The sequence below is a fragment of the Homo sapiens genome, chromosome 10 (genome assembly GCF_000001405.40).
Source record: "Homo sapiens chromosome 10, GRCh38.p14 Primary Assembly".
Taxonomy (NCBI): domain Eukaryota; kingdom Metazoa; phylum Chordata; class Mammalia; order Primates; family Hominidae; genus Homo; species Homo sapiens.
In genome coordinates, this window is record NC_000010.11 from 52,895,350 (window position 1) to 52,908,857 (window position 13,508).

The 13,508-nt window shown below is 37.4% G+C and overlaps 3 annotated features.

Annotated features, from left to right (window-relative positions):
* Positions 5,304–5,353: an enhancer, noted in NCBI's record as "active region_3377". NCBI's record gives its function as "activates an Ori minimal core promoter by ATAC-STARR-seq in GM12878 lymphoblastoid cells {active_cell/tissue: GM12878}" and the evidence as "EXISTENCE:reporter gene assay evidence [ECO:0000049][PMID:35858748]".
* Positions 5,394–5,553: an enhancer, noted in NCBI's record as "active region_3378". NCBI's record gives its function as "activates an Ori minimal core promoter by ATAC-STARR-seq in GM12878 lymphoblastoid cells {active_cell/tissue: GM12878}" and the evidence as "EXISTENCE:reporter gene assay evidence [ECO:0000049][PMID:35858748]".
* Positions 8,040–8,806: an enhancer, noted in NCBI's record as "OCT4-NANOG hESC enhancer chr10:54663149-54663915 (GRCh37/hg19 assembly coordinates)". NCBI's record gives its function as "activates a minimal SCP1, AML or CMV promoter by ChIP-STARR-seq in naive H9 embryonic stem cells {active_cell/tissue: H9 hESC(naive)}" and the evidence as "EXISTENCE:reporter gene assay evidence [ECO:0000049][PMID:30033119]".

Below are 13,508 nucleotides of genomic sequence, written 5' to 3' on the forward strand. Positions count from 1 at the left end.
TGATCTTGGAACTTCTAAATGCAAGCTGAGAGTGGACACAGGGAGCAGGTATTGACTTCTTTGACAATTTAAATAGATCATTCTGGAAAAATATAACTATTGAAGTCCAACCCATTTTAAAAATTGTTGAATTTAGGTTTAGAATCAGAATGCCTATGACTAGGAATAATTGCATGAATTGCTTTACTTACATGAAGAAAAAATCTGTTAGTTACCTTCCAGATGTTCAACCTTACCTAAATAATTTCTCTTTGAACCTTAGTATTCTCACTAAAGAGAAGGAGAGTGATAAGATACCTTCTCTGGCTTGCTATGTTGGATAAATGCAATAATATATCTGTAAGAACTGAGTGTCTGACAAATAGTGGGCATTATATATATGTGAATTTCTGACCAGGTCCAGAATGGTGTGTTAATGGTGAGGCATTTGGCAGTGCAAAGTTTGGTTTGAATATTTAAGATCATAAGAATATTGACCTTTGGCTACATTGTATATGGGCTTTAAATTTACTAATACTGAGATACTGAGCTGGGGTATAGATTTAAAGCGAGAGATAAATGTTTTCTCAATAGTCAGTTATCTGAGTAGATTCCTAGAAGTTGGAAGGAGCCTGTAATAGTGGAGTGAGCATGTCCTTTCATGTCAGTCATTCTTTGTTTTGAATCCTGACTGTGCCACTTACTAGTGCAGCTCTATGTCCATAGTAGATGGGAGAAGTTGTAAAGTTTGGAGCTTTCAACTATTTAAGACAGTTTTTTTCTGTCTCTGATACATTGTTTGATTCAATGTGTAGGATGAAAAATGGCCTTTGTTAATGCTATCTTTTATTATATCCCAGGACTCTAAAGCCACGGATTCAGGAAGGGGAGGGCCTAGTAGCCAGAATACTTAACTCCTTATTTTAAAACTTATCATCCCATGTCATGTTGTCACATGACTGCTAGATACCTGTGAACCATTCTGATGAATTTCAACTAAGGTGAGCATGGTTGGGGTGACTAAATATATGACCTCTCTGAAGGAATATTTGTAAAAGTTGAAGAATTTTAAAGCGAAAGGAGTTAATATTAGAGAAATGCTTAGCCCTATATCAAGATAACTTTGGTAAATATTTTTATGTAGGAGATGTTAGCAACTTTCAAATTATATTGCATATAGTTTAGATACAGGGATTATGTTAAATCTAAATATAAAGTTGTTTCAGCATAAAGCCAGTCAATGATGCCAAAATTATTTCAGTCTGAGTTTTACAAGTTCTACCCACCTTCAGCCACAGCAGAGTGTTTATGTATTAAAAGAAAGATTTATTCTTTCTATAGACATTTGTTGAACACCTATCATCCTTCTAGTATTGGAGATAGTGGATGCAGAGATGTAGCTGTCCCCACTCCCCGCACCCCCTCCACACTAAATTTAAACCTAAAAGGAAAAGACAGCTAATTGAAACGACAAATTAAATGATAGGATGGAGAGGTACAATCTCCAAAGAAGGGGACCTAATGGCCCTTTCTTTGGTACAATCTCCATTTAACAGAGGACCTAATGGCCTCTGGCTGGTCAGGATGGGCTTCTTAGAGGCTGCTTAAGCTGAGGGTGACAGGAGGAGTGTGGGGATTCATTAGGCGGAGAAGAGTTAGGAGCAGACAGAGCAAGTGTCCTAGGAGTTTGCTGTGAATTTTATACTACTCACCAATTAAAGTGATGCAGCCTATAATTGTGAAAATGAACTGTATTTTCTCCTTTTCATGAATCTTCCACCAAGTCTAAGATGATAGTAAATGTTGTTAAAACCTTTAAGCACCTTACTGTCCTCATTACTGGATAATTTAAGCAGCACCAGAGTTGACCATTTTGCAATACTTTTTCTCTTTGTTTCCACAACACTATTCTCTATTTTTTTTTCCTCATATCTTATTGGCTACTCTTTCTCATTAACTTTTGTTTGACTTATAAATTTTAAAGCCTGTCAGGACTTGATCCCAGACAACCTCATTTCTGTGTTTATATTCCTTCCCTGAGGCATCTTGTGAATTCCACACACTGCTACAGCTTCACCCACCATCCATAAGCTTATGACTGCCAAATCTGTCTTTCCTTCCTGATCTCTCTTTGGCTCCATATTTGTGTATTAAAATGCCTACTGATTGCTCTCTCTCTCTTTTTTTAAAACAGGATCTCACTTTGTCACCCAGGCTCTTGAGTGTGGCATCACGGCTCACTGCAGCCTTGACCTTCCAGGCTCAAGTGATACTCCTGCCTCAGCCTCCCAAGTAGCTGCGACTATAGCCATGTGCCACCACGCTGGGCTAATTTTTTAAAATTTTTGTCGGGACTAAGTCTCGCTATGTTGCCCAGCCTGGTCCCAAACTCCAAGGTTCAAGTGATCCTCCCACCTCGGCCTCCCAAAGTGCTGGGATTACAGGCATGAGCCACCCTTCCTAGCCTGACATGTCTATTTTGATAGAGACAAATCAAACTTTTAATAGCCAAAGTAGAATTCATGATTCCTCCCCAAGCATTCGTCCATTCATCTCTATCCCTCACCACCTGCCTTCTCCTGTGTAATCCATGAAGTTTTGTTGATTGCACTTTTAAGTCATTAACTTGCATCCTTACTACAGTCCTGATACAATTACTGTACCATCCTTTCTTTCCTAGAGAAAAAGCCTCTAAACTTGCCTGCCTCTGTCTACTTCTGCCGCCTTACAGCCTATTCACTACAAATCGCCAAAGTTATCTCTTAAAATTGTAAATCAACTCATATTCTCCCACCGCTTAAATACCTCCAAATACTTTTCAGTGCACTTAGCATAAAAATCTACAGTTTTCATCTTGGATTTCAGGGGTGCAGGACTGTCCCTGCCTCTCTTCCTGAACTCTTCTCTTACCTGCCCCCCACCACCATGCTCACTATGTCCCATGGTCTTCTTTGTGTCCTTCCACATTTCAAATTTCTTCCCATCTTTGTCCCTATACATTATTGTCCTCTCTATTTGGAATGCTTGTGCCTCTGTTGATTGTATGCAAAGAAGGGTTTTAATTTCTTCTCATTTCAGCTCGCACCTTAAATGTTATTTCAGAGAGCCCTTCTCTGATCAGTCTATTTACAGGAGACTGCAGCTCTTTCTGTGAATGGATTATAGGGATGTCATGGTACTTATACAATATATTCTGTAGCATCATTATCTGGGTCTAGAGCAATAACCCACAATCAAACTTATCAATATTTCAGGGAAATTTTAGAATGTTCATATTGAGTAGGATAAGGACTTTATGTCAGTCCAGTCACATTTTGCTGGACACACAGGAGAACACTGCAGATTTGCCCAAACTCTCCTTTTGGATGTGGCAATTCTAAAACTAATAGAGTGGTAGAATTGAAGAGGAGAAAGGCCAGTGAATTGCAGGTTCTCATTAGACTTGATTACATTTTTGCTTCGGTGGGCTGTCTTTTTTTGCTGAGTTTCATCTTAAGACCCAATTTGAGTCTCATTCAACAAAAGATTACCATGAGAAAAATAATTGCACAAAAGTAGAAGATAAAAGGTTGAGAGTGATTATATTTGACAGTGTTTATTCATATGGTTATTTAATGTAGACCAGTTTGAATTTATAATAAATCAGATATCCAGTTTGTGTTTTTCTTCAGTTTTCTGAAAAAAGGCTTAAATCTCATTTAAAATTTTAATCAACTTCCAGAAGATAAACTTTTACTTTTTGTTTAATTTTATAAAACAATTGATATAATGCAGTGATATAATAATCTTTGATCTAACACCAAATGTGTAGGGTTGCTTAATAAAGTAATCTATTATGCTATTTGTATGATACGTTTTTCAGTGTTAAACCACTTCATGTTTTTCATGTATCACTATGTAGATCCTGAAATGATTGAATAGGAATAGAGTTACTGAGCTTTTGGATGTCTTTGGAACCATTTCATTTCTAGTCTTGCTCTACATTAAATGATGTGTGCTTTATTTATTTATTTTTAAATGATAGGAATTCAACTTTGGATGCTGAAATAAAGTCCCATGGAAGCAAAGTGAATTTCCTATAGAAATATGATTTCTATGCCCATTTGTCATGAGCTGACTGGCCTCAGAGTGGGGTGCAAAATTTTGTACATACATTAATGTCTGGTTTCTCCACAATTGAGAGGTTAACTCTGAAATTACTAAAATCAATTAAGATGATTCCAAATGCCCAGTGGATTATGCCACAGTAGAAAGTGTTAAAGTGAAAAAATCAGGTTTTGCACTATTAGCAAAATTGTGCTGAGACACCAGAACACCAGAGCATAACTCATTGAAACTCAATTTTTTTCCTAGTTGCACAGAAAAATAACAGTCTTTTAGAAAGCTCTATTCATGCGGAGGTAGTCATTACTGATTTTGAATTCTGAGTTTTTGCTGTTTGCCCTGCCTGCCAGATATTTCACAGGACTAATTTTTTTCACCATTAGGATATCTTGGCAAGCAATGTCATAACAATAGACTTTTTTCTTTCTATTTCTTAAAATTCTTAATGTATTCCCATCCCCAGCCCCCAACAAAAAGAGCCTCCGTGAGAAGCAAATTTCTCTACATAAAGACTTTCCTATCATAAAAGCCTTCCCATGATGATCAATCACAATAATTTGTAGTTATGGTAATGTGAAGAATTAAGAATCATCCATTTAGGCCAGCAACTCCTTGCTATGTATCACTTTCCAAATTAGTAAATAGTAAATTATTAAATTAAGATTGTGTTTGAAGAACAGTTATCCTTCAATATTTAATTTATTGGTGAAACTTAATAAAACAGTTTGTTATAAGATCACCTAATTTTGCCTAATGTACTTGTGTATTTAATGGATATAAGAAATAGATTGTCACTTGGCACTGAAGCCTACGAGGCACAAACTTTGTAATACAGTAAGTTCTCACTTAACATCATCCATAGGTTCCTGGAAAATGTGACTTTAAATGAAATAATGTATGATGAAAGCAATGTTACCATAGGTTCATTGATATAAACAACATTTAACTTCTTATGGCATATTCCTGGTCACAAAAACACCACCAAATATCTAAATAAAGATCCAAAGCACGTCTAATATTAAATATTGAAATAGACGTGAGTTATTGTTATCAGAATATCAGGCTCACCACACAGAATGACAGTTACGGAGACAAGTACTGCCAGGGAAGGCTTTAATCAGGTGCCGTAGCTGAGGAGAAAGGGAGATAACGTCTCAAATTCATCTCCCAAACCAGCTCAACTTGGGGGGTTTATATAGTGGGGAAGTGGGAAAACAAGAATTAAGGAGGGATAAGAAAGCAGTCCTGATGTATGAGGGGTCTGGTGGCTCACTGAATGTAATCTGATAAGTTTCAATTTCTTGCCTGAGAGTGAGTTTTGAGGAAGAAACTCAGGTGAGACAAATGTAAGTTTCATGTTTTAGGGTCAGGGAGGGTCAGTTTCTATGTTTATTTTTAGAAACCCATAAATATTCGTTCTATGAGACAATTGGGCCTGTTTCAGTATACATTTCACTATGCATTTAAGAAAGGTTAATAAAAACAAACACAATCATTATTTAACTTGCTGCCAGCTTTTGGTGAATCAGTGAGTGATGGTGGTCGTAGTGGTGGTGGGTTAAATCAAAGAATAAATGTTTGCAAAATGAAAATTGCAGGGAAATTCTCCTCCCACTATGCAGTTCAAAAGCAAACAAGAACAAATACTGCTGTAGGAGACCCAGAGATCACCTCTCTTTATCTCTTATGTGGGCTGTTTGGCTGAATCAAGAAACCAAATTGACACCAGGCAGATTAACAAGAGGAAAACATACAAATTTTATCAGTTTTACATGTATATGGGGATCTTCACGAGTGAAGTCCAAAGATGGCCAAAGGATGATGCTTTTATCCTTTTTAGACAAAGAACAATAAATTTGAGAAGAAATGACAGGGAAAAAAGAGATCTGTCTAGAAGCAGTACATTTTTAGGGAAATCACTAGGAGATACATGAGGGAGGGGTGTAGTGGAAGGTAAGTGTTACTTTATTAAGTATATTTATTCAGGTCTACTGCATCTTCCAATTCCCAGTTTCTAGTAGGGCTATTTTCACACCCTGGTAAGGGCTATTTTTACACCCTGGTGGGGAAGGGCATCTCTCCCAGAGGATTCTTTATGGCTTGCTACATGCAGGAAGAGACAGGTTACCTCCCCTTTCTGAAACTATAATTTCTCCAATGTTTTCAAATCAGAATAATCAATATACCAATTCAGCATATTTTGGGATGGCAAGTCCTTCACTACTTCAGTGGGTGAGCTGAGCACTTTCATACCTTATCATTTATTGTTGCACATTTGCATGATTATCAAGTCTTAATGAATTTTGATTTGACAATAATTTGTATTCATTTCTTCCTTCATTCATTTTCCAACCTGCTTACTCCAGCTCAGGGTCGTGAGGCTCTGGTAGCTCAGGGCCAAAGCAGGAACAAACCCTGGACAGAATGCCATCCCATCACAGGGTGCACTCACATACACATACACACTCAGTCAGACTGGGACCACATAGACATGTCAGTGAACCTAACAGGCACATCTTTGGAATGTGGAAGGAAACTGGTGTATTCAGAGAAAACCCATGAAGACGTAAGGAGAATGTGCAAACTCCACACAGACAGTGGCTCCTGCTAGGAATCAATTTTTTTCCTCATCATTATTATATCAAAACAACCTTGAATGAGACAACATTATTTGAGGAACTGCTGTACTGTATTTGAGTTCTGTAGGATTCCAGAGGGGAAACAGGGTTCTACCCATTGCACTTTTCCACTTATTCCACTAATGACTTCACATTCTTTTGTAATAAACATTGATCATATTAAGTATTAGGATAAGTAGTTTGCAATTGCTCCAAAATATTTAGAACATTTATTCCATCCATCTCATTCTTCCTATGTGATAGAACATACCCTTCCAAAGATATCATCTACAGACTCTCTTCTATGAGCCAAATAACTTTGGTATAGGTAAAGATCTGAATAAAAGTATTTCTGCCTCCCATTCTTTTCCTCTCTGCTTTCCCCATTCTATATTTGTAAATAAATGAACAAGTTGATGCATTAGAAAGTACAACAATACATATTAAAATGTCCTTCTTATTTAAACTAGTTTTTCCTTTACTTTGTACAGGAAGGTATTGTAGAGCAATAGGATAAAATAAATTTTCTCCTTTAAAAGTAAAATCTTTTACTGGACATTAAGATTGAATGTACTGGCTGGGTGCAGTGGCTCATGCGTGTAATCCCAGCATGCTGGGAGGCCAAGGTGGGTGGATCACTTGAGGTCAGGAATTTGAGACCAGCCTGGACAACATGGTGAAATCCTGTCTCTACTAAAAATACAAAAATTAGCCAAGTGTGGTGGTGCATGCCTTTAATCCCGGCTACTCGGGAAGCCGAGGCAGGAGAATCACTTGAACCCAGGAGGCAGAGGTTGCAGTGAGCCAAGAGGGTGCCATGGCACTCTGGCCTGGGCAACAGAGCAAGGCAAAAAAAAAAAAAAAGAGAGAGAGAAAGAAAGGAAAGGAAAGGACAGGAAAAGATTGAATGTACGTGGGTAAATAGGGAAATGATGATTTATGTCCCTTTGTTAAAGTGGTTATAAAAAAACAGTGGTTTTTAATTTGAGGAGAATTTATTAAAAATGCAGATTACAAAGTCAGAGATGTAAGACATGGAAGGTGGGGGTCAGGTATTTATAGTTGAGAAAATCAAAACAGGTGATTCTGATGTAGGTAATTTTCAGACATCTAATAGAAGAACACTATGCCTACACTTAATTACTTCATAGTAGTTATTGTATATTTGCTAATGTTTACTTTTGTTATTTGCTAGCTTTAATAACTTTTTATGCTTTCATTAAATCAGGTCAAATCATTTGTAGTTTTTGTTACAGTCATACTTTTTAAAAAAGTATTTGGATCATCCAGCTTAGACCCTAATAATTCTGTTTACCTACATTTTTGCAAAAATGAAAGTCTACTTAGTAATAATAAAATGAGCTAAATCTGCTTAAAGCCAAGATCAAAAATTTTACTAAGGTAATTTTTTCTTAAGTTTTAATCTACTTCTTGGAGTGGAGGAGCAACCTGTCAATTATGTATTAAGTTCAAATTTCATATACACAGTACACATGAAACATTAAAGCTCTGAACTAAAATAATTTCTTATTAACATTTAAGTAAGATGTTTATCTAATCTTGTCACAGTTAGAAGCAGAAACCAAAGGGGTTTAAATATGCATCTCATCACTGAATGTCAAGCCACTAACAGAGCCCTTAATTAGCATGTGAAACATCTTAGTTCTTTGCTAAGTGGTTTCTTTGTCCCACTCACTCCTGCGGGTGGGAGACAGCATTAGACAACTTGTTGCTGAAACTCAGTTCACATTTGTTTTCCAAAATATTTATGTATTTTCTGTGTTCACGGCTTTACTGCTGACTGAACTGTGTCCTGGAGGAATGGACAAAAGAGGAACAAACATTTTCGGGAAATTGAAGAAAATTTCAGATTTCACTGGGAATTTGGATACCAATATAATTCATAGGCATTTCATTAGATTTTGGCTCATTAACTACAACAAACATATTGGGGATTATAAGCAACGCCTTCAAATTTTAGGGCCATTTTAAAACTCATTGTAACAACACAGCATAACTCCTTCTTTTTTAAGATCCTTGGTTGCTCAAGATTGACTTGTACTCTCAGTGTTATTTGGAGAGTTCTGAAATTGGTCTGATGTTGGCATTTCACAAGCCCCATCCATAGGCCTTGAAATCTAACAACATTTTAAATTAAAGTGCTTCCTATTAGAAAAACAGTTTAATGAAGAATTATTATATTAGGTCAGGGATAGAGATGGGAAGTGGCCTATTACTTCACCATGCAGAACAGAATTTATCACATTGTCTAATGAGTAATCATTCATTAGTTCACAGATATTTGTGAATAGATTTTCCTTTGGTGGGTTTGGTAATAACTATTTGTTAAATATTAAGCCATTTATGTAACTTCAATGGCATTCTTTTATTAAAAATCTATACAATAAATGAACTGGATTAAATGATCCTGTGCACTTTCAGATCAAGATTTCAAAGGATCTTATTGTTTCTAATTTTTAAAGACTTGTTGTGTCTTATTATTATAGCTAACTCTTTAAGTTGAAGCTGGAACCAATTATCTATGGGAACAATTTGATTAAGGCAATTCAAAATAGCAAATTTTTATGAAGAGCCTACTCTGTGTTGAATACAATAAATAAATACTCTTACAGGTCTGGTCAATGTTCTATATCGTTGAGAAGATGGAGGGGCTGTCCTAAAGTAAGCAGCAGGGCTTGGCTCCTTCTTGCAGAAGCAAAGGAGAAATAAAATAGGAGCTAAGGAGAAGTTTGAGGAGGCAGTACTGGGGCAGGGGAATGGGCAGGAAAGGTGAGGGACCAAAAGGGAAGCCACCTCCTTCACTAGTGTGAGCAGGAAGTAAAGAGGCTAGTATAGCCCATCTCTTGCTCTGGGGCTCAGGAGTCTGTTTATATATAAAGTTCACGTGAAGATAAAAATTTCTATTTCAGTCCGAACTGTGTTCGGTTCCTGACACAAAGCTAGTACTTAATAAATGGTAGTGGCTATTATTACAGTATTATTGCATTTATTTTTCTAGTGGTATCAGTATGCTGCCGTATAGCCACCACTCTGAACAGGAAATATAAATTTGATGGCAAAATGTCACTAATTCTGATTAATGGGAAATGTGACCCTATTTGGAAATAGGGTTATAGCAGATATAATTCATTGATATGAGGAGTGAGCCCCTAATCTGATTACTGGTGTCTCTATAAAAGGTGGCAATTTGAGTCTAGAAACACACACAAATAATAATTTTCTTATGCAAAAATAAAAAATGATTAGAGTGGTTTTATCTTTTATTGCTTTATTTTCTTCCTTCCAAAAGAAATTTGAAATTATTTAAATAAAAATATTAGCTGTTGGTTAATGGGCACTTATTTTGTGGTAGGAGTACTGTACTAAAGAAATCCCACTGAGCATCTTTATAAACCATTCAACAATATAATGAGGTAGGTATGGTAGCAGCCTCCTTTATTTTATGTATGGAAATATTGACAGTGGGAGGATTTTGTGGCTTGCAGAAGGCTTCACAGTTGGCCTAGAATATATTAATAGACAAATCTAAGGTAGCCTGAAACTTTGTGCTTTAAAAGAGCTATTGCCCCTATGTCCAAAGGCTGTGCAATGTTCTGAGAGTGTGTGGGTCGAGGGGAGGAGGCACTCATCCCTGTTCTCATGGCCACTCCCTTCTCACTTGATCAGGGTGGTTGGATGTTGGGAAAGAAACCTTTGGGCCCCAGTTGGCTCTTAGTACAAAGATGACCGTGATTTTGCCTCAGATCTCAGCTCCACTCTAGAAGCACATTTGGGTGAAGCTTCTGGAGATTTGGATTTACCTGGATGCTTTTTGGTTCCAGATAAAAAGCATTTTCAGAGAAGTCAAGGAACTTTGGCTGCAATAGCATCAATGTTCATGAATAAAACTCTGTGAAATAATTCTGAAAACAAGAAGGCTTAGGAGGCTATTTTAAAAGGAGGCAAATTAGAGGGTTCAGTCTGAGTCCTGCTGTTTTTTCTTAGTAAAACTTAATGTCTCCTATAAAAACATGGGCTCTCCATTACTCTTTTATTATCCAGTTCACATTTTAGCTACTCAATACAATCATATTCTCATTTGTTCATACAATGATTTACTCATTAAATAGAATTTGAGTGCTGACTCAGTGCCAAGTCAGGAAGGATAGATACCCAGCCTAGAGTGGTTGTGAGAGAGATAATTCTGGAGGAAGTGATCTGAGGTAGTAGGTGGTTCCTAGCTAGTAAGTAGGAATTAGTCATGAGAAGAAGTAGGATAGAGAATATTCCAGGCATAGCAAAAGGCAGGGAAAGGAGAATGCTAGAGGAAAGTGCTGAAAGATGATTCTGGGAGGTACAATGGAGGCAAATAGTCACAAAAAAACTCGTATGGCAAATAAGGAGTTTGAATTTTACTTGGTTAAGTAATGATGAAATACTGAGAGTTTTAAAACAGTTTGTTGTACTGACACCAGTGGGCTCTGGAAAGTTCCCAAACACCAGTGGGACCTTGATTCCAATGGGTGTCCAGGCTTTTGACATCATCTCAAGCAGGAATTCATGAGTGATTCAGAAAATAGTGAAAGTATAGAGATTTCTTGCGAAATGAAAAGTACACACTCAAGAAAGGGGAGTGTTGGTATACTCAAGAGAGTTGCACACAAGGGGGTTTGGGGATGTTACTTTTATGAGTTTCTTTAACAAAGAGGTGGAATAATCATGATTCCTGAAAAAAGGTGATTTCTTAGCACAATTAAAAGTTCTGTACTCATACCTCTATGGGCCGTATAAATTTTGAATACCTCACAGAGCTCAGAATGCTCTCAGCTAGACTAGGGTTTCTTGGAAAAGTGGTGTCACCTAATTTTTCTTTTCTTTTCTTTTTCTTTCTTTCTTTCTTTCTTTCTTTCTTTCTTTTTTTTTTTTTTTTTGAGACAGAGTCTCGCTCTGTCGCGCAGGCTAGAGTGCAGAGACATGATCTCAGCTCACTGCAACCTCAGCCTCCCCGGTTCAAGCAATTCTTCCTGCCTCAGCCTCCTGAGTAGCTGGGATTACAGGTACCCGCCATCAAGCTGGGCTAATTTTTGTATTTTTTAGTGGAGACAGGGTTTCACCATGTTGGCCAGGCTGGTCTTGAACTCCTGACCTCTAGTGATCCACCCACCTCAGCCTCTATTAAAGTGCTGGGATTACAGGCGTGACCAGCCTCTATGGGCCTGATAAATTTTGAATACCTCACAGACCTCAGAATGCTCTCAGCTATTTTTCTTTCCTCATATGTTATAAGCAGGGCATCTTTACCTTTTAGGAATGTTGAAAGCTGTTAAACATAGTTTTCTGGGCTGCAATGCTTAATATAACTTGAATTTTCACTTACTATTAAATATGCAGAATGAAAAAGTTACTTGCTAGATACTTTCTATAGTGTGGGTAGATTAAAATCCTCATTAAATTAATTTACATTTACATTTTAGTTACGTCCTTTTTTCTTTTTTTTTGAGACGGAGTCTCACTTTGTCGCCCAGTCTAGGGTGCAGTGGTGTGATCTCGGCTCACTGCAACATCTGCCTGCTGGGTTCAAACGATTCTCCTGCCTCCGCCTCCCAAGTAGCTGGGATTACAGGCATGCACCACCACCCTGGCTAATTTTTGTATTTTTAGTAGAGACGGGGTTTTGCTATGTTGGCCAGGTTGGTCTCAAATTCCTGACTTCAGGTGATCTGCCTTCCTCGGCCTCCCAAAGTGCTGGGATTACAGGTGTAAGCCACCATGCCAGGCCTTATGTACTTTCTGATACAATATAAAATGCAGCTTTTTTATGGGTAAATGGTTGTTCCAAAGTGCCAAGTATCTAAATAGCTCCATTATGGTAAGGGGTGGGAAAGCTCTTAGGTATCAGGTTAGCTTTGTTAGACGGAAAGAACTATGATTTTGACAGCTGCTCCAGCTGCAGAGTTTCGGGGATGCTGTTCTCGTTAAGGGAAACTAATGCTTTTAAACCATATCAGCAACAGCACCTAAGGAGAGCAATTCTGTATTTTACACAAGAATTTCCACAAAGTAGCTATTAATATCAGGAAATATATATTATGTTTAATACTATCCTCAATTCTAAATAAAGAGAAATTGGACTATATCCTTGGAGAATAGAAATTTGTGCCTTATTTATAACAGGAGAAAGAACTGACTTCCTTTTCTTGAAATCTTCCAGCAGGTTTATTTGTTATTCAAAAGTATTCACAGAAAAATGATCTCTTAGCATAATAGGAGGAATATGGAAAATAAGGAATAGAGTATTTTTTTCTTCTACTGCTTTATAGCAGACACAGATAATTACAAAGTTTGGCATTGCTTTTGGACAAGTTGTGTCAACTGTTTGTGGTGATCTGTAGCACAGAATCGGGGCAATTCTTCAGGTTGACACTCGTGGGAGAACTTGAAATAAGAGAACAAGTCAACTTCCTTACCAATCTGAAGCATGACCATTCTGTCTCTCCATTCCTACTTCTCTCCGTTTGCTGATTCAGGCATTAGATAAAAGGAAACAGATCGCATTTCCCAAAGTGCAAGATGCTGAGTGAGAAAAACAATTCCTCAGGTGTCAGATTATTTGAGGAAAGCTGGCTGGACAAAGCCAAACAGGTTTATCTACTACAGAGTTTTTTAGAGCCTTTAGATGCTAATGTAACAGCCATCAAAATAAGAATGAAAATTCACTGAGTGCCTACCGTGCCTCAGGTACAGGGCTTAGCTTGTGTTGCCTTGTTTAACACTCATGAGGAACTCTGCCAGGGGCGTACTAATATT